Genomic DNA, 19,683 nt, shown 5'->3' on the forward strand with positions numbered 1-19,683 from the left:
AAGAGTTATTTTTTAAATTCCAAGTAATTTCAGTTATCAAATTAATTTATCAATTAAATCAATTAATAAACATTGACAAATATAAGCCAAAAAACCAAAGCTTTTTGGGATCCTCAGTTATGATGCATGATTCTCAGAGAAACATTTCTCAGAGTGTTTTTCCCCAAACACTAATCTCATAAAATGATTCATAAATAAAAGGGCTTTTGCTCTGGGGTAATTTTTCAAAATCTGGAGAATCATAACACCTGCCATACTTGGAGAGCTAAAAGCCACATTAGTTTGCTAGAGGCCCAGGGAAGTCCTGCCGTACTGTGTTTGTTTCATCTTACACAATCTAGTGTTTCGTTCTGTTATCTCAGGAAGTTTGTGAATCCAGAACATGCTGGTCACCTGACCTTGGAGAAGGGGTGCTGGCACAGCGGAAATCTACCATGACTCACCTTCAAGCCGGACCACCAGGGGCACCTTGAGTTCTAGCTCCCGGCAGGCTTTGGTGATCCCATTGGCAATGATGGCACAGTTGACGATACCACCAAATATATTGACAAGGATGGCTTCAACCTGAAATCAAAAATAAAAAGTTACCAATCAAAATGCTGATCGCCAACAGTCTCAAAAATAACTGGTTAAATAATAGAGACAATTAAAATAAGACTGCTCGTTTTTTTGTTTTTGTTTTATACAGAGCATAAAATACAAAAATGGCCCAGAACATGTTAAGAAAGCTCATATTAGTAATAAATTAATAAATATCACAATATAACATTACCAAATTTTCCCATCAATCACTCTTTTCAACTCAAAATGAATTTAATCATCATTCATTCGTCTATTATATAATGTCTTCTTTTTCTGAAAATATTATTGTCTATTCTTTTTATGAGTAGTATCATTTAAAATTTCTTGCATTTAGGTTTTTTTCCTCCACGATTTACAATTGCCTTTTTATATGTCATGGTGCCTCACACAATATTTCAAAATCAGAAACCATTTATTGTTTTGTATTAAAAGGTAAAAAAGATTCAAATGTTTTCATGCTTCCTTAATACCTCTTTGATATGCTAGAGGTATGTTCTCAAAAATCAGAGATAGTTTAATTATCTTAGACAGCAACCTTTTGATTAAAAAAAGACTCTCGAAATAAAGAGATCCAAGCTTATAGCATAAGTAAGAATGTAAGGAAAGTCAAGCTACTGACTGGAGCTTCTTAGAAATGTAAATTTAAACCCATCACCCATCATGTTAACTTGTTTGTACATATTCCATATTCAAAGGCATGTGGGCCAAAAAAAAAAAAAAAACAAACTCTACTTGTCCTGACTTGATAACTAGGCATAAGAAAATCCTGTATAATTAACATGAAGAACGAGATAATGAAGAGAATTCATTACCTAGATTAATTGATAACACCCACAGAAAAATGGCTGTTCATGAAGCTGGAGGCATCAAAATTCCAACAGTAGAGTCACAATTAAATTATGCCACACTAATTGTAAAGCATATATATATGTGCTGCATAGAATCCTATTATTTCTGTCTGTTAAATTACCTACACCAAACATATGAGAAGAGAATATCTTACATTTGTATAGCATTTAAATGTTTAGAAAGTGCCATCACACAAATCCTTATTTTTTATTGTGAGCCTTCCCAGAACCCTATTTATTAGGTAGGGTGAAGGTTGGCTCTCTAGCTGAGAAAGCCATCGGGCGCATTGGGGCATGTTGTCCCAAGGTCACACAGCTGTCATGTGGCTGTGGCCAGGCCCAAAGCCAGCTCCCTAGATTGTCTACTGATTTGTTCATTGATGTTGTTGCTAGGGCTGGGACCTTGGTCGAGTTACAGAACCTCTCTTGAACATTTCCTCATCTGTATTATGGGAATAAAAAGAGGACCTAGCCCACAGGATGTTGAAAGGCCTAAATGAGGTAATACATGTGAAATGTTTACCACATGGCTTTAAATGTACTTAATGGGTATTTACACTTGCATTTATTCAGCAAGCATTGATGAAAGTGGGCAAGTAAGAAAACCTTTTTCAGTAGACTGCAGCTCATGTTGAATTCAAATATAATGGAAATACAAACTTATTGAAATTCAACAAAAAGGTAATGCCTTAAGAATCAAAGAAATGAACAATATTTTTCAAACCAATTAGAGATTGGGGCTACTCCCAGAAAAGAAATCTCCCATTACTATTCACAGTAGGACAACTGGTAAGCAGAAGCTTGCTTTCTAATGACAGCTATTAAATGCTGTTAGCATTGAGGCTTGGTACAGCAGTAGTTTCCAAATAACTGTAGGATGGAGAGGAACTTGCCAGAACAATAGAAGAAAAACATTCAAGAGCAAGAATGACTCCATGGGGTCCATGATAGAAACTCAGGACCTGCTGAGGCTCAGTAAGGTTTGTGCAGAGGAACTTGGCATTCTAGTAAAACACACATTGGCACCTGCATGCCTCTGCCATGTTCCAGTCTGCATATTCCTTAAGGACAAGTTCGGATGTCAACTTCTCAGGGAATTCTCATTAAATTAGAATCACTGACTCTGTTTAACCCATCTAAAGCTTTACGATCATTTTACAGAGTATAGTTTACATCATAATCTTATGTGAATTCACCTAAACAGGCAGGAGTGAGGGATAGGAGCAAAAAGGAGAGAAGGGGCTTGAGACCCTGTGATTCAATTCTACTTAGTGGGTGAGTGCCTGGAGTAAGTGTCAAACAGGAATCAGTGTTGCCTCAGGTGGCATCAGTTCCCATGAGTCTCTCATGTGTTAGTATCTCGTGTTTAATTAGAGTCCGATGTTAAAAATAGATACTCTTCATATAACCACTTGCGGTTAAAATTTAACTACTTTAGTTGGTGCTGAACCCCAGGAAAAGCCTTCTTTTCTAACTGCAGAGGGATAACTGGTTTTGTTAGACTTACTGAGAAATGAATAGCTGTTGTTCTCCAATGTACTTTATTCTCCTCTTACCTTCCTCTCCCCATCCCAAGATGCAACTCCCGTGTTTGGATCATCTTTGTGCTTCTCTAAAACAAAGATTATGTATTTTCCCATTTTTTTAATAATCAGTAGCCAGCACAATCCATGATATGGCATAATCACGTAAAAATAATGGTTTAACAATGAATGAATTAATTTCAACAGACACTTGATCAACATCTCCCTTGTACCAGGTACAGAATTAAGTTTTGGGATATGGAGAAGGATGAAGTATCATCACTGTCCTCAGGGAAGAATTCAAAGACTAGTTTGAGAGCCAGACCAATAAACTGACAATTACAAATACAGGGTCTACAGATGTCTCACACAGCCAAGACCAGGGGAGAGGCGGTGATGCAGGCTGCTGACATGACAGAGGATTTTTGGAATAGGTGAGGTTCTAGTAGACAGGAAGAAAAAAAGAGCAGGATCTGAGATAAAGGGAGCAGCCAGGATAAAGGCAGATATGTCACCCAACTTAGTTCGCTGAGGAACTAATGGTTGAATGGTGAAGTAAGTTAAGATGATACAGGTGAGGCCAAGATTGTCAGGTGCCAGATGCCAGGGATGGGAATTTGGATCCTCTTATTTCTTCCTTTTTAGTTTATTTATTTATTTTTTGAGACACGTTTTGACTGTTTCACCCAGGCTGGAGTGCAGTGGCACAATCTTGACTCACTGCAACCTCCGCCTCCTGGGTTCAAGTGGTTCTCATACCTCAGCCTCCTGAGTAGCTGGGACTACAGGCAGCTGCCACCACACCTGACTAGTTTTTGCAGTATTAGTAGAGAGGCGATTTTGCCATGTTGGCCAGCTGTCTCGAACTCCTGACCTCTACTGATCCTCCTGCCTTGGCCTCCCAAAGTGTTGGGATTACAGGTGTGAGCCACCGTGCCTGGCCTCTTCCTTCTTCAGAACTGGGTAGACGCAAGTCTTGAAAGCAGGCTCCCTGAAACGCCGAAGAGAAGTTATAGGAGGGGAACAGAAGGACAGAGAGGAGAGTGAGTGCATGAGAGACAATGAGAAATACAGAACAACCATGAGAGAGCATGGGAGAGAGAGAGAGAGAGAGAATGAGTGAACAAGAAGCAGTAAAGAGAAGGCATGAGAGAACACAAAAGAATAAGAGAGAGAGAAAGTGCAAAAAGGAGAGTGAGAAGTCATGAGGAAGACAGGAACAGAAAGAGTATGACAAATACTAACAAAGCAATTGAGATTTCTACAAGAAGAGCAACAGGACATAGAAGTACGCAGGCTGCTTAGCTCAGGGAAATGGGATTGTTTAGGACACACGATACACCACAGCACCCTAAGAGGAAAGTCACCACCCTGGGTGGTGAGAAGATCCCACTCAACCAGAGATTATGCCATTCTCGCCTTCTCTCCCACTGTAAAGTAATTTGCTGCAGTCATGCACTTTAATGGAAATCTGATTTAAGGTTTAACTCTGGGCCAACTTCTATAATTAACTACTGTAATCTGCAATCTCAAACTGGGAATGCAATTAAGACAGTTTAAAAATGAAAGCCTCGTGACATCATTATTATTATTTAGCATTTATAAAGCATGTCAAATTTTCAATATGTGCCTCACGTGTTCATTCATTTTACAACCACTAACTGCTGTTCCATGATGATACCAACAGCAACTTTTAATTATCTTCCCCCAGCCCCCTGGCAAAGAGAATTTTTTTTTTTTTTTTTTTTTAAGAATTCAGTGTTAGGTCTATTTAAGTAACCAGAGACTCTCCCGGAAGATCCCAAGTGCTTTTGGGAACAGAGGCTTTTTCTAATTCTCGGGTGAGAATTATGAGGGTTGCTATTTACTGTTTTACAAAAGTAAAGATCATCTAATGAGGCAGTTGAAGTGCCAGATACAGGGCCCGGGTCCCCAGACCCCAGACAGCTGATCCCAAGGCAAGTTTGCTCTGGCAGCTGTGCAGGTGGTCAGGCAGTCCATACACAAGTTTTTCAAATGTCTGGGTGTTTTGCTTTGCAAAACACACTCTAGCTGCAGATTTTAGTACACAATTAAAAGTAAAAACTAAACTTTGAAAAAAGAACAGCTACAGCCCTTGCTATTTATCAAGCTTCTTTTGACATCATCCCCACTGCTCAAATAAACAAACCAACAAAAATCAATACTAAACCTCTTCTTTGGAACATGGATCCTTTTGAATATCTGATGAATATTAGGGATTCCTCAGTCAGGTGAATTCACAAACACAACATTTTTGGGGGATAATAGTAGTTAAGTCCCATGGCTACCCTGCTCCTACAGGATATGGCCTCCAAGACCTCCAATGGCAAGTGGTAACCTACAGCATATGCATTCAGGATAGGGCTATGAGTTTCAGATAATGGCAAGTGTTAGTGCACACCATATGTATTCAGGAGAGGGCTATGAGTTTCAGAGGAATAGTGAATTCTTCGCAGCTGTCCACAGAATTTTTGTCTGAATGTGTATTTTTCTGGGCAAAGTGTACATAATCCTCTAGAGTTGATATATGAATAGCTATCACAAATACAACCATAATTAACGTTACTAAAGCATTTAGCAGGTTGTACTCAGTATTCTAATTATTGTATATGTACTAACGCATTTAACACATGAGTATCACAGGAGGTGGGTATAATCATCCCCAAATTGAGGTGAAGATCTGGGAGAATCAGGGGTTACAGCTTTATCTACTGTCAAATATCCTTCCAAGCCAGCAAACCTAGAGAAGCCCTACAATGAGTGATGGCTTAGTCTCTTTGTGTTCATTACCACAACCAACTCTGCCATATACTTGTGAGACAGATATTACCTACCCCCCTTTCGCAGATGAGAAAACCAAGACTCAGAGGTAGAAACAAATTGTGCCAAATTAGGCAGCCTGTTTGCTGTCAGTCTAAAAAATTCAGCTCTTTTTATTCAACATGATCCTGAGTCCCCTTAATGAAATAAAAATATTGCAAGACTGCTCAATAAAAAGTTATTAATTTAATATATATTCTTCACGGCCTACTATGTGCCCTGTGCTTGTAGGCAGTAGCTAAGCCAGCAAGAAAGATTTTAAAATTAGACAAAAAGGTTCTATATATCTAAAACTGCAAACCACGATAATAGTTATGAAGGGGAGGAAAATGCTAGGTCCTATGTGAGTAGCAGGACAGGACCTATATTACACCAGGTGGTGAGGGAGGGCCTCTCATAGGCAGAGACATTTAAGCTAGAGTCTGAAGGGCAGTTGGGAAGAGGGCAGGTAGATCAAGATTAAGAGAGGGAGAAAAGTATCTTAAGACAACAGAATACCATGTATACAGGTGGAGGAACAGAAAAGAGTGTGGTGCATTTGAGAAACTGAACAGAATCTGGAGTATCAGGTCCCTGGGGCCTGAGAAGTAGAGTGATGGAAACAAGATGGGCCCCCTCGCAAATCATGCAGAGTCTCACAGAGCAAACGCCATGACAAAGAGTTTGAGAAGCCTTTGGTTTTGAGACACCTACACAGACTACAGTAAGGTCAGGAAGGAAATTAACATTTATTGAGCATCTACAATGAATTTACAATAAGCTTATAAATGTATTTTTAACCTTCATTTTATAGATAAACTGAGTCTCAGAAAATTTAGGGTTTCCTAGCTATTAAGCAGTTACAGTTCAAACCAACACTGTTTCACCACAGCACATGCAGGGCAGTTAGGAATAGCTGGATAATGATAAAGGAGCCACTGACATTCACCAGGGATCGACAACATCTTGCTTTTAAGAGCTCTATCAGTATATATTTTAGGTTTTTTGAGCCCGTCTCTGTCACAACTACTTACCCTTGTTGCAGCATGAAAGCAATCATAGACAAACAATATATAAGTAAATAAGCATGGTGTATTCCAATAAAACTTTATTTACAACAACAAGCGGTGAGCCAGATTTGGCCCACAGGTCATAGTTTGCTAACCTGACACAGATGTGATTTGGTTCATTTCCCCTCAAATTCATGGCAAGTATACCATCACCCCTCCTTCTTCATGTCACTTGATATATCTTTGATAACACTTTTCAGACATTACGTTGTCTTTCTTTGTTGTGTTATTTTCTTGCCATCACTGATAACACAAAGGTACCCAGGCAGTAGTGGTGGCCAATTACATAAAGGAGTCCAACTTTAATAACATTCCTTTAAAACAAAACCTGTTACCTTTAACAAGTTCATAGAAGGAAAGTCTCTGTTTTGTTCTTTTTTCCTCCCTGACATTGGTTGGAAGTGAAAAAATAGAAAACTTTCAGAGTAAGCCAGCTACTTTGCAAAGGTTATTGCAAATAGTTAAGTACTGCATTGTATTTAAAAACACTGTAGCATATACGTGAAGCACAGTAAGTGCAACTATTAGGTTTTGTCTGTGCCTATTCCAATCACGAATGCTAATTTAGTCCCACTGTAGCAGGCATGAGGTTGATAAAAATCAAGCAAGCATGTTTATATTAGCCAAGATAAGGACTTTTTTAAAAAAATCACAGGTTATTTTAATTCTGAATGTTGTTGCTCTTGTTTAAGCATCTGTTTTTGTGAAACTGTTTTTCTTTTTTGTTGTTTTTATTTTCCTGATGAATTCTAATCATGTCTTCTAATCCACTGGCAGCCAACGAAGGAAAATAAATGGTGAAGGAAATGAGATGCAGCTTGGATAATTGATGTTTGTATGCCTGGATTTAATAAAAAATACTCTGCTAAATTAGAGGGGAGTCTAAATAGATTCAGTCAATAAGGAAGTGATTCAGGTGAGGAATTCAATCTTGGGCTTTGTTGTAATAATACAAATAAACCAACAGATTGGTTCGATTGGGACCAGATTTGCCTTCTGCTGAAATTATGGCAAGCTGCTCAGGCTCACTTTTCTACCTTTGGTATATTCTTGGAGTTTGAAATTATTTTCTTTTGTGTGACTTCAAATGCCAGGATCCTTGGAATAAAGCAACTCATGTACCTCCAAAATAGCTAAAACTGACATGTGAAAAACAGCATTCCTCGAAAGATACCCTCCCACTCTGCCCTTTTAATTTCTTCCAAGGAAAAAAGAAATAATTTTAGTGAGTCCACGATCCTGCCTGAAAATCTCAGAATCAAAAGGAAATGTCTTATACAACACCCTTAATACAAAACAAGATTTGGGCATTTTAAATTCATCAATTGAGATGAACCAACCATTTTATTCCAACTTCTCTGAACTGATAGCATGGAAACGACATCTTATGGAGAGATCCTCTGGGGACAGTAACTTGATGGAGAGTCAAGTTTCCATTCAGGTTGACCTCTGAAAGCAGTCAGGGGAACCTAGGGAAATGGGTCTAATTAGACTCCAATCTGTCCTTATTCTGTCTATTCTCTTCTTCCTAAATTCTTCACTTTACTTATATTCTATAATTTACTCCTTGGTAGAATAAGCAAAACTGTATGGAGGATTAAGGTTTATTGAGTGTTAATTTTCCTAGGTGCTAAAATTATGTATTATAACTTTCCCTGGTAAATAAACTCAATGAGCTTAAACATCACACAGCAGTAGGCAATGGTGTCAAGATTTAAATTAAGGCGGTCTTACTGTAAAGTCCATGTTCGTTCCACTCCCTCTGGCAGTCTCTCTATAATCAGAGACTCCCAAGATGAGTCAGGAGTTCCAGCTCCATATTGGTCCTATTTCCAAGCTTCAAGAACGTGCTTCTGAGTCCTGTATTCTGGTGCCCAAGTATTTCTTGCTTTCAAATTTTGCTGCTGAATTAAAATCAATCAGAGGTAAGATATCTTGTATAGGTTTGTGGACCAATGGGTTTTAGTTCTTTACAATACAGATATTTCCTGTTTACTGATAAAAGAGTTGTCCAGAGCTCATGGTTTTGGCATTTCCTAGTTAGATGGGGCTGGGGAGGGGTCATGAAGGTACAAGAGTGGGGCCTGGCCTTCAAACACTAAACTCTGTCCTGAGCTGAAACAGATGTTCCTAACAAGAACTCTCTCTGCAGACTGATAGCTCCTCCTCTCCATGTCTGAAACACTGAAATGTATACCATTGCCACTATTATTCTTTGAAATTATGGCCATAAAAATTCTAATGGTGAGACATCATCATCAATACAGATTTTAGATATCAGGCAGTGGAATGGCCACTGGTAGGCATGGTAACTCTGTAAGTGGCTGCTTGAAGAATGATGATGGGGGCACATTCTAGTTAGTTCCATGGCAGAGATCTTTGAACTGTTAACAATGTCTGCCATGGAAGTGGAGGAAAGAGTCAATGCAAGTGTATAATACATTTGTTTCCCTAACTTTGGAGTTACATGACACATATTTACACATAATTACACATAATTACAACTAAAGGTTTAGTCTGTCAACATTGCCCCTCCTTTAATAACTTTTACAAAGAAAATATCAGGCAGTAAAGAAATCCAGTTCACATCCTGCATAACCACCAAGAATATATTAATTATGTATGATTAGGTATATGTAAAGCAAAAAATTTAAATATAGACTTCCAGCTCTAAATAGAATGAAGACATCTTCCATTAGGAATACTGGTATAGCTTAACAGGTTAAAAACTAATGTGAATACTGCACCATATAAATTATAAAGCCATACTTCCTCCCAAAACAAGGATCTGTTTCCTTAAATCAAAGTTCTCCAAAGTATATTGTACGAAGTATTAGACCTAAGTAATGCTCCTTGAAAAAATCTTCTGGTCAAATAATTTGGATTCTACCTTAATGTGAACTTTAGCAGACCATCTGTGTTCTAAATTATAACACCTTAATTTAGTTATTTTCTGCAAAAGAGTCAATGGGTTGGAAATTTGATCTGCAGAGAGCTGTCAGAAAAGGTGTTCAGGAGCTGGTATGTTTGTGGTTAGGTGGCACAGAGATCTATGGTCCTTCTTTACAAAGATGCTAATCATTTCATTATTTAGGTCAAAGTTATAGTATCTACAAAAGTAGAAGGCTTTCACAAGCAAGAACAGCAACTACAAAGGCCCTGGCCAGGCCAAGGGTGGCATATAAATGCTTCTGTAGTTGTCAGCAGACAGGGTAGTAGTGGTTAAGTCAGGTATTAACAGGATTTTCAGGAGAAGAAAAATCTGAAGATGGAAATATTGAATGGCATTATAAATAGGAAAAGGAGACAAGGAGTTAAAAGGACTGAAGGGCACAGAGATTTGGGGGAATAGCACAAGCACAGTTTCTATTTTTTTACAGCCATAGTTCCCGTATCCTTTTGAACTGAGAATCAGAACCACTGCCATGATTACAAAAACCATTTGGACATTTAGAATGGCAAATGCAACGTTCTTTTTTGAGTGCTGTGTGTTTAAAATAAATCATGCAAAAACTACCATAATGTATAATTTGGCCACAGAGATATTCAAAGCTAAAAAAAAATAGAGCAAAGAGATTTTGGTCATACTATTTCATAAAGGGGCATCAAAAGGCTTAAAAAAAGAGTCATATAATTCTCTCTTAACAAATCAGCTATTAGAATTGACTCTTCAGAAATATTTGGTTACAAAACTGTCTTTCCAGCTTAACAGATAATTGCTTTCAAAGCAGGATACTCATTGCTTATAATGCAGTATCTATATTTTATTTGTAATGGGAGCTACATTGGTGCAGATTGAGAATATTTATTGGCACATTCTTTCTGAGCCATATTTTGTTCAATCATCTCAGACTTATGTCATCTTGATGCATGTAAATACGTATACTCCATCATCATTTGTTGGAGAGTTAATATAGAGAACACCCATAAAATTGGCAACTTGGTGAAGGATCCATTTATTAATCTATAAACAGGATGTCTACCCATCTATTGTTGCAACATATCAGTCTCCACAGGGTTACTGTCCCTACAAGCAAGAGGAAAAAATATATTTCTATGAGTGGTTTCTTCTCCTTTATTTGTGATTAACATCAATTAGAAAAAAAAATAGCTAAGCAGAGAGAGCCAAAACTTAAGACCACACAGATTCACACTTCACACCACAGAGAAATGAAGACAAATTTAGTTAATGGCAAAACCCACTGTTTCTGTAAATAACAAATCTAATGTAAAACGATGGTGGAATATAATGATCCTGTGAGGTTTTAGGCATCTGTTCAAATAAACCTATTTGATCATTTAGTTTTCTGGAAAAATAAGGGGTTGACAAAGATTCATATCAAAACCCTAGTGGATAAATATCTGGCTGGAAAGAGTAAAAACATAAGATTCCAGCTATGATTTCAGTGATCTATAAGCTATTTCTTATAGACTAAAATTTATATTAAAATTATTTTAAGTAAAAGCATTTTTAAAACACATACATGTTTTATTCATTACAAATCTCACTAGTATATTTGTGAAAGGCAATTTACTGCCAAATTTCTTTACAAAAACAAGTTTCCATTTCATTTCCCCAAATCCCCACCTTTTGTTCATTCCAGTAAAATGACTCTAATGCCAAACCTGACACTCAGAATCTTAAATTCTGAAATTTCAGAATTTTCAGTCACTGCTGAAAAAATTCATTAGCATCTCAAACTTAAATTCAGGTAAATTAAGAGGAAAACCAAATAAACAATAATGCAAGAAAGTTACACATTCAAACATGTGTTATAAAAATCAACACCCCATTTGAATTAGGGCTCCTCTGAAATCCCTGGGCAGGGCTGGTGCCTGGTAATATTTAATATCAGGAGGAATGGAATCTTGTAGAATTCATTCTACACTGACCAGCAGTATTAAGTGTCACTGTCACCAAAAAAACATTCTCAGCTGTAGACAATATTCTAAAATTACTAATATCACTGTCTGACCTTGCTGTTATCTGTTGTGTGGAACAGAGATCTATTTATTTAGCTGTTCAGCAAATGTCAGTATACCATGACTGGAGAAAATTAGAAACTACATTGGCAGAGCACTCCCTACAGCCTGCTAAGTAAGGAATTGAACAAAATGCTTTCTACCTCAAAGTGTCTAAATCATTGATTGGCCACACCTTCTCTCATCCATGGTTAACCTTTCATGGACCTAGTAGAGTTCTCCAGCTATTAGACTCCTTTTGCAAAAGGATTCCAGAATATCATATTCTCTGAGGCACATGTTAAACAGACTATGAAAACATCGTGATTTGGGACCTAGCTGTGCTGCAGAATTGTCAGGGGCCTCTCCAGATCCTCTCCACTCTTTTGCAACCTCCTCTTGGCCCTGGGAGGCTGACTAGAGAGAACGGATTAATGGGTTCCTTTTGGATCTGATGTCTGGGGAGCCCTGGCAGGAGGAGAGGGAATTGGGGGCATTTATTCCCCCGTCCCTCCCAGCACGATTGTCTTGGGTGGCTGTTTCCTCCACAGAAGGTATCAGAGCATCTCAAAAAAGTCTTCATTACAGGATATTCTCTTCTGGTCAAGTAGTCACCTCCTTCTCTCTCTCTCAGCATTGGGACAGAAGCGATCCCACGCTGCCAGCCCCAGGTTCCTTTAACCCCACATATATTGTCATTATCAATATTTTTAAAAATAAACTTTCCTCCATATACTGTGAGATGAGTGTGCCATTGTTTCCTTTTAAGACTAACTGATAATGTGCCATTTTGACCAACCCAGCTTGCTCTTGGGAAAATCCATTCAACCTTCTAGAACTGGAAGGTTAACATTTTGTTCAGTTACCCCCTCTCCACAAGATAACCACGGTCATGGGTTACACAATAAAATAAAAGTCAAATAAAGCTGCACATTCTCAGCACAAGCCATTAAATGAGTATTATCACAAACATTTCTTTCCTTGGCTCTTTTTGGGACATGGCTAATACCTAAGAATCTGAAATTGTTGCTCATTAGCTGTCTGGATCTACACCCCAGTTAAAGGCAGAAAAAGGAAAACAAGCTAAAGGCTTTATTATCTTGGGTCCTGTCCATTACAAATGACAGATGATGGCTTGTCAGGTGAAAACGAGCTTCTCAGCACTAAAACGGCTTCATTCAGTTTATTAGCCACAAACAAAACTAAGGAAGGCCCACTAAGAAAGTGACTTGAAATCCTTATTTTCAGCATGATGAAAGATGGGCTCAATAAGACTGAATCCCCATGTGGTCTTCCAGTCTGTCTAAAGAAGGAACATGGGTAACATGGAGACAAACTCGAGAAGATGGTTAGTATTTAAAAATGTAGGTCTGCAACCTTGAACAAAAAGTGTTAACTTCCATAAAATGCCAATGACCCAGCTGCAAGTAGTCACCATACATTTATCTCAAAAGCCACATTATTCTGTTCTACTAAGCAAATAAACTGTGTCATTGAGCTGTTAACAGTCAACCAAAAAATATACCCAAAGGGAATACGTATAGGATGGCTTAACAACCAAGAAAAACCATGCGGAAGGAAACTAAAGCTCTCAAATTCCACATGGCTTTTCTAGGAACTGAGCAGCATCCAGTAAAGACAGATACACACACAGTACCTAAGTCCACAACGTAGACAAGCATTTGCTTTCCAGATATGCTAGAGCTTCCTTTTGTCTTCCCTGCTCTGTAACTCTCCTTTATTCTCTGAAATGTCTGGACAAATGTCCCTGTTTGCAGACGCCTACCTCATCCATCTTATCACACATGTTTCTCAGTGTGGGTTTATCTCATGAACATGTATTTTCCAATATGTTAAATCCAAAAAATAGTTTTTAACTTATTTAATGTCTATTTTGTGTCCTATCAAAAAAAAGCTTCTTGGGTTGAAAAAAATATTTTTGTAAATGTCTTGACCTGCCACCTTTTTATTTTCATGATTGCTTTGAATATCATGTCAAAGTTCTTACTCCGGAAACCTGGATGGTCTTCTGTGTTGCTCAAGGCTAGCTGAGGGCATCTCCCATTTTTTTGTTTGTCTTGAGTAGGTGATGCTTCCTGTAATGCCCATTTCTGCTACACGAGTTCCCTTTCATACTATGCCATCTAACTCGACTCCGAAGTTCTTGCCACCTAGTTGAGAAGACTGTAATCTCTGCCTTGGCAGATTTGAGAACAGGAATTCCATCCCAGTTTCATGTTACAGTTCCAAATGACTGTTTTTATAGATGTATCGAGTACATTGATGTTGGGGGTACTTCTTATGGGAGATTATATTGACTAACTGACTTGCAGAGTGTTAATTTTAATTGGAAGGGGTGGTTTCAAACTCAGTGCCAGACAGGTAAGTAAATGAGTAGAGAGGTATTAGATTAAGACAACAGAAAATACTCTGACATACCAGCAAGGACATGCCTTTTCAAATGGGGCAGTTGCTACACAATCTATCCAATTGTTGCCATGCGAATGTAGGCCTTTTATGCCCAGATCTTTCCTGTTTTCAAAAGCCAAAATTCTGGATTTTTAAAAACACTAGGCTTACTAGACAAAATGTATCTGAGAGCAGCATCTGTCCTTACTGCTTAATCTGTGTATCTCCCACAACTAGGTAGATGTATCAACATCCCAGAAGATGCTTTCCAAACCAGTGCATCTTTCCTGATACTATCACTACCCTCTCTAACTTTTGGATTTTCCCACTCCCTCAAATAATCTGAAAATTTCTATTTCTTTTTTCTTTATGAGATGCAATCTTGGCTCTGTTGCCCAGGCTGGAGTGCAATGTCGCAATCACAGCTCATTGCAGACTTGACCTCTCAGGCTCAAGTGATCCCACCTCAGCCGCCTGAGAAGCTGTGACTACAGGCATCTGCCACATGCCCAGCTAATTTTTAAAAAAGTTTTTGGTAGAGATGGAGCCTCGCTATGTTGCCTAGGCTGGTCCCGAAATCCTGGGCTCAAGTGATCCTCCTGTTTAGGTCTCCCAAAGTACTGGGATTACAAGCGTGAGCCACCATGCTTGGCCAGAATTTGAAAATATTTCTGCATATAATGAAATATTCGAATGGAAAACTGTTACATGTGTGAATGTTGGAATGCAGAATAAAGCTACACAGAGAGAGAAAAGAAACCAAGCAAGTTTGGAGAAGGACACAAGGATTTCTCCGGCTACAAAACGAGGATTGAAGAGTTATACAACATGAATTTACACATGACAGCAATCATGCTAAGGCTGAAGTAGCTAACACTTCTTAATCACTTACTAGATGCTAGGCACTGCCTAAGTATTTTATCTATCTTAACTTACTGATATCTCACCACGACCCTATAAGGAAGGTAACTGCTTTCCATATTTTACAGATGGCATACAGTATAGAGGCATTAGGTAACTCCTCTAAGCCACACATTTGATAATCCTAAACCCTCATGTGACTCCAGATCTACTGTGTCATATGGTTTGCCTTATACTCTTCTACTCTAACACCTTCAGTCACCTTACTGGCCAACTTGGCTGAAATCCTTGGCATAGCCTAAAATGTCCTTTATATACACCAGATGCAACACATTCCTTAAACATGAGACAAATCCTCCCTTGAAGATCTCCTTCCATGGTAGTTTTAAAATATGCCCACAAATCCCTTAATGTTCCTCTCTTCAAGATGTAGAGCTTAATCTTCCTCCTCTGGAGCATGGGCTGTACTTAGTGATTCATTCTAATGAGCAGAATATGGTACACATGACAGTGTGCGACTTTTGAGACCAGGTTATGAAGGGTATTGGGGCTCCTTCCTATTTGTTCTCTCTCTTGGATCACTCACTCTGGGCAAGCCAACTGCCAAGCCATAAGGACGGACACTCAAGAGACTTCTATCCAGCAAGGAACCAAGGCCTCAGGCCTCCTACCAACTGCCATGTGAGTCATTTTGGAAGCAGATTGATCCTCTAGCCCCAGTCAATCAAGTCTTGAGATGACAGTGAACCTGGCATACTTCTTGACTGCAGCCTCATGAGAGACCCTGAGGCAGAACCAACCTACAACCAAAACCAGATGTCACTTATCAATAAACTCAAGGTTGAATTGTTGGCTCACTGATAGGCAGAGTTTTGAATAAGAATTTAGGTAGCTCTTTCAATAAAATATTTTTCACATTTAAATTAATGGCAGATTGCTGAATAAAATGTATATGCTTTTACCATTTAATGACCACATATGAAAATTGAAACTAATCCTTTGCCATACTGAAATATACTAAACTGCAAGTTCTAAGAAGTGACATAGATTTATACTTTTTAACAGATGATTTTCCTAAATTTTATACTTAAAAAATCCCACTATAATAATACTGCTTTGGAAAATGCTAGCTTTTTTTTCTTAATCAGGACTATGTACAGGGAATATGAGACAATTTGGTATCCTATTAGAATCTTATTTCTCTGACATGAGTAAGTTGGGCTGATTTCTATAATGATCTGTTACATATGCCTTAAGTCTTCAAGTGCAATGTGAGTTAAATGAAAAGTACTGTGGAGTTAACATCACAATTACATCTTAAGAAATTGCAGGAGATAATCTAAATTTGTTAAATATATTGCTAAGTATATGACTATCCACATAAAGCTTAATCAATTTCATAATAAAATCTACTTTAAACCCTCCAAAGTTCTGATTGTGTTCCTTAATATAGACTATTGAAAATTATTAAAATATCTGGTTTAGTGCTACAATAAGTGAATTAAGGCAAGATCAGTATGAACTACAACTGAGACAGGTATCCACTAGAGGCCAGTGTACTTCGGCATGGAGAAGGAATTTATAACCAATTCCTGTGGAAAAACCAACCTTATTCCTACCATTCAAAAGTGGAGGTCTTGTGAAGTGAAGAAAAAAAAGATGAAGAAAGCTATTTTGATTCTCTGAAAAGAAAGCTTCAGAGGATAAGAAAGATGAGTTAAGGAAGGATGAGTCATGAAAAAAAAGAGCAAAGAGAATTCTTGTCTAGAGAAAAAAAAATAGTACTACCATACACTGTACTGTTTGATGTTTCACCAACGTAAGTGTAAATTTTCAAGATACTTGGTGTAACTGTAAGCTTTTTCATAAATGTTTCATTTGGCAATATATTGGAAATAATTAAAGATCTGGAGTACCTAGAAAGTACCACAGTAATTTCATTTTCAAGGCAGTCATCATTGCTAGCTGCCTAGACAAGGCCAAGGGTTTTGAAATGGGATGGAACAAAACTGCATGTCTGCAATTTTCTTCCCTTAAACAACTGTATTCAGAACAAGTACCAAATGGTTCCTTCTCAAACATGGAATAATTCATATAAATTCACCTAGCACTACATTCATATTGTAAAATACATTTCTTAATAATGGTGCGACACGATGCCTACAATACTTTTTAACAAGGAACTGAACTAGTTTCTCAAAACTAAAAATCGGAGTGGAAATGAAAATCTGATTCTTTAGTAAAACGTAGACAATAATAGTTGGTAGGATCCTGAGTAGGAGATTTTACTTTGTAAGAGTGAAGGCTGAATGATTTAACACATAACCCACAGATGTGTACTCTTTCCCCTTTTCCTCCAGCAGAGAAAGGCACCTTATGTAATGTGGGCATGCCGGGGAGATGAATGAACCAGAAAATCTTAGAGCTAGGCAGGACCTGAGGGTTCAGCCACCGCAGCTTGAACCTTTTCAAAGACAAAAGTTTCCTCCTTTGCAAGGTGGCCCATTGCATCCCTCCATTGCATTGTTGAGGCTATAGCTGTTTGAAAGTTATTCTTTAATCTTTATACTGGGGGACCTCATCTGACACAACAAAATACTGTTCTGGTTCCTGAGGCCAAAAAGAGGACATAAGATACAAAGATAAATAATACATGATCCTGACTTCGAGGAGCTGTAAAATTCTACCCATGCAGTAGGTTCTGATTCTGATCTCTGCAACAAAAGCACTGGCTCTATCACTTATTAGCTGTGTGAATTAGCTAACTTCTTTGGGCCTCAGTTTCTTCATCTTTAAAATGGGGATAATAATATTAGTACCTACCTTTGCAGGGTTGGTGCCAGGATTAAATGAGATAATTAAAATAAGGCACTAAGCCCAGTACGTGGCAAGTGGTAAGTACTTATTAGCAGTCAGCAATTATTGCTACTCACTATTTACCTGGCATATAAGTAATTCAACCCTTTCCAAACTCCTATGAGCTATGATTTTATTACCATTATTTTTAGAGACAGGAAAACTGAGGCTCAGAAAGCTGAAGTAGTTTGCCAAGATCAGCAGCTAATTAATGGCTAGACAAGGATTTGAACACAGGTTTATCTAATGACAAGAGCTTTAACCATTACACTAAGCTGTTCTGGTGAACAGTAAGGCAACTTCCTAATCCTAAAGTGACAGGGCCAGTATTCACTGACAAAATCTATGACAAATCCAAAATTTTTCCTTTCTCTGATATAAATATAGTTAGTGCCAAAAGCTAACCACAAGATTCCTCCCTTCCTAGCCATGGGAGAACAGGAGCCCTGGAGATGGAAGAATCTTTGAAGTCCCTGAGCCCTGCTTCCAGTGAGCCATCCTGCCTGCTGTTCCAACCTCTGTTCCTGGAGCCCATACCATCCTGGTTAATCTCTGCCTCTGTAGAGGTGGGGCTTCCACTACCTTTAACTGTTCTTCATGGGATAATCACAAACGGCCTGGACCTCTCCTGGAACTCAGGGATAACAAAAAAGTATTGAGAGAGAATTATCTAGTCGGGAATAAAGACACACAGGTGAATGTTATAAGAAATGCATTCAGTGAAACCTTTGAAATAGCTGTGTGCTCTCTATGCCAAGTCATGGATTTAAAAAAAAAAAAGGTCTGCACAATGTTAGGATCAGAATACAATGGTATGACACTTAAGAGTACTTCCAGGTTGCTTGCTTCCTGATATTACAAAAGCACGCTCAGTCATCTCTGTCCTCTATCACCAAGCACTCAGTCCTGTGATGAAAGGATGCTGGCATTCTATTTACATCAGCTAAATTTACAAAGAAACTGACTTTCTGTTGATGGCCTGTTGAGAGGAACAAATTAAAATAACTCTAAATCATGTCTGTAATTTTCTGAAGAGATACGCTTATCACACCCCACTTAGAACACCAGGTCAGATGTTATCTCGGTCTCTCCTGATATAGATTTTCTACTCCTTTGAACTTACAAGATACAGTTCTGCCTATTCATTAGGAAGGTACATAAGAAATTGGCTTACAAACTACAGTGAATCAGAATGTCTAATTGTCTGACTCTGGCTCTGAGAAATGTAACTAAAATCATGAACCATAATATTAACAAAAAATTATGGTCCTTTATCTGGGAAGGTCTTTTATGAATGTGCTTTCATTAGCTAGTAAGGCCAGAGGAAACAATTTAAACTCAAATCTTAGTGACTGTTTTCTTAAAGTCTTATATTAGGAGCATTCTGTCTGAAATGTTAATGAGAAGAGAAATCTATGTTGATTTGACCCCCAATTTATGACAGTATGATATGAAATTTCCTCCTCCTTGTCAAAAATAAGGCTTCTCCAAATAAGTGTCAAACTATTATGATTTACAATGATTTAAAAACTGTTATTGACATGATTCACAGAGTGGACAATAAACAAGCAGGAAAAGAAAATAGGATAATTGTGAGGTGAAAAATATTTAGAATGACAGGTTGCATGATTAAATGAGAAGCTGAAAATCAAAAGCTGCTGAACCATTCAATCATTTCACAGAGGCATGTTTCTCTTTAAGATGTTTAAGAAAAGGTGAGGGAAACAGAAAAGACACTGCAAGGAAGGCAGG

General features: G+C 38.1%; 1 protein-coding gene across 6 annotated transcripts in view; it reads right to left on the reverse strand.

The window, feature by feature from the left end:
* SUCLG2 (succinate-CoA ligase GDP-forming subunit beta) overlaps positions 1-19,683 on the reverse strand; it is a 294,153-nt gene that overhangs the window by 39,828 nt on the left and 234,642 nt on the right. For 4 of the 6 annotated variants that reach the window (NM_001177599.2, NM_003848.4, XM_017007420.3 and 1 more), the window contains exon 10: positions 444-564. In NM_001177599.2, the coding sequence (NP_001171070.1) occupies positions 444-564 (121 nt within the window). Of the gene's footprint in view, positions 1-443; positions 565-6,866; positions 8,313-8,577; positions 8,748-19,683 lie in introns of those variants that run through there. The other 2 variants (XR_007095763.1, XR_001740350.3) reach the window with 2 other exon arrangements.

Source organism: Homo sapiens, chromosome 3 (genome assembly GCF_000001405.40).
Source record: "Homo sapiens chromosome 3, GRCh38.p14 Primary Assembly".
NCBI lineage: Eukaryota > Metazoa > Chordata > Mammalia > Primates > Hominidae > Homo > Homo sapiens.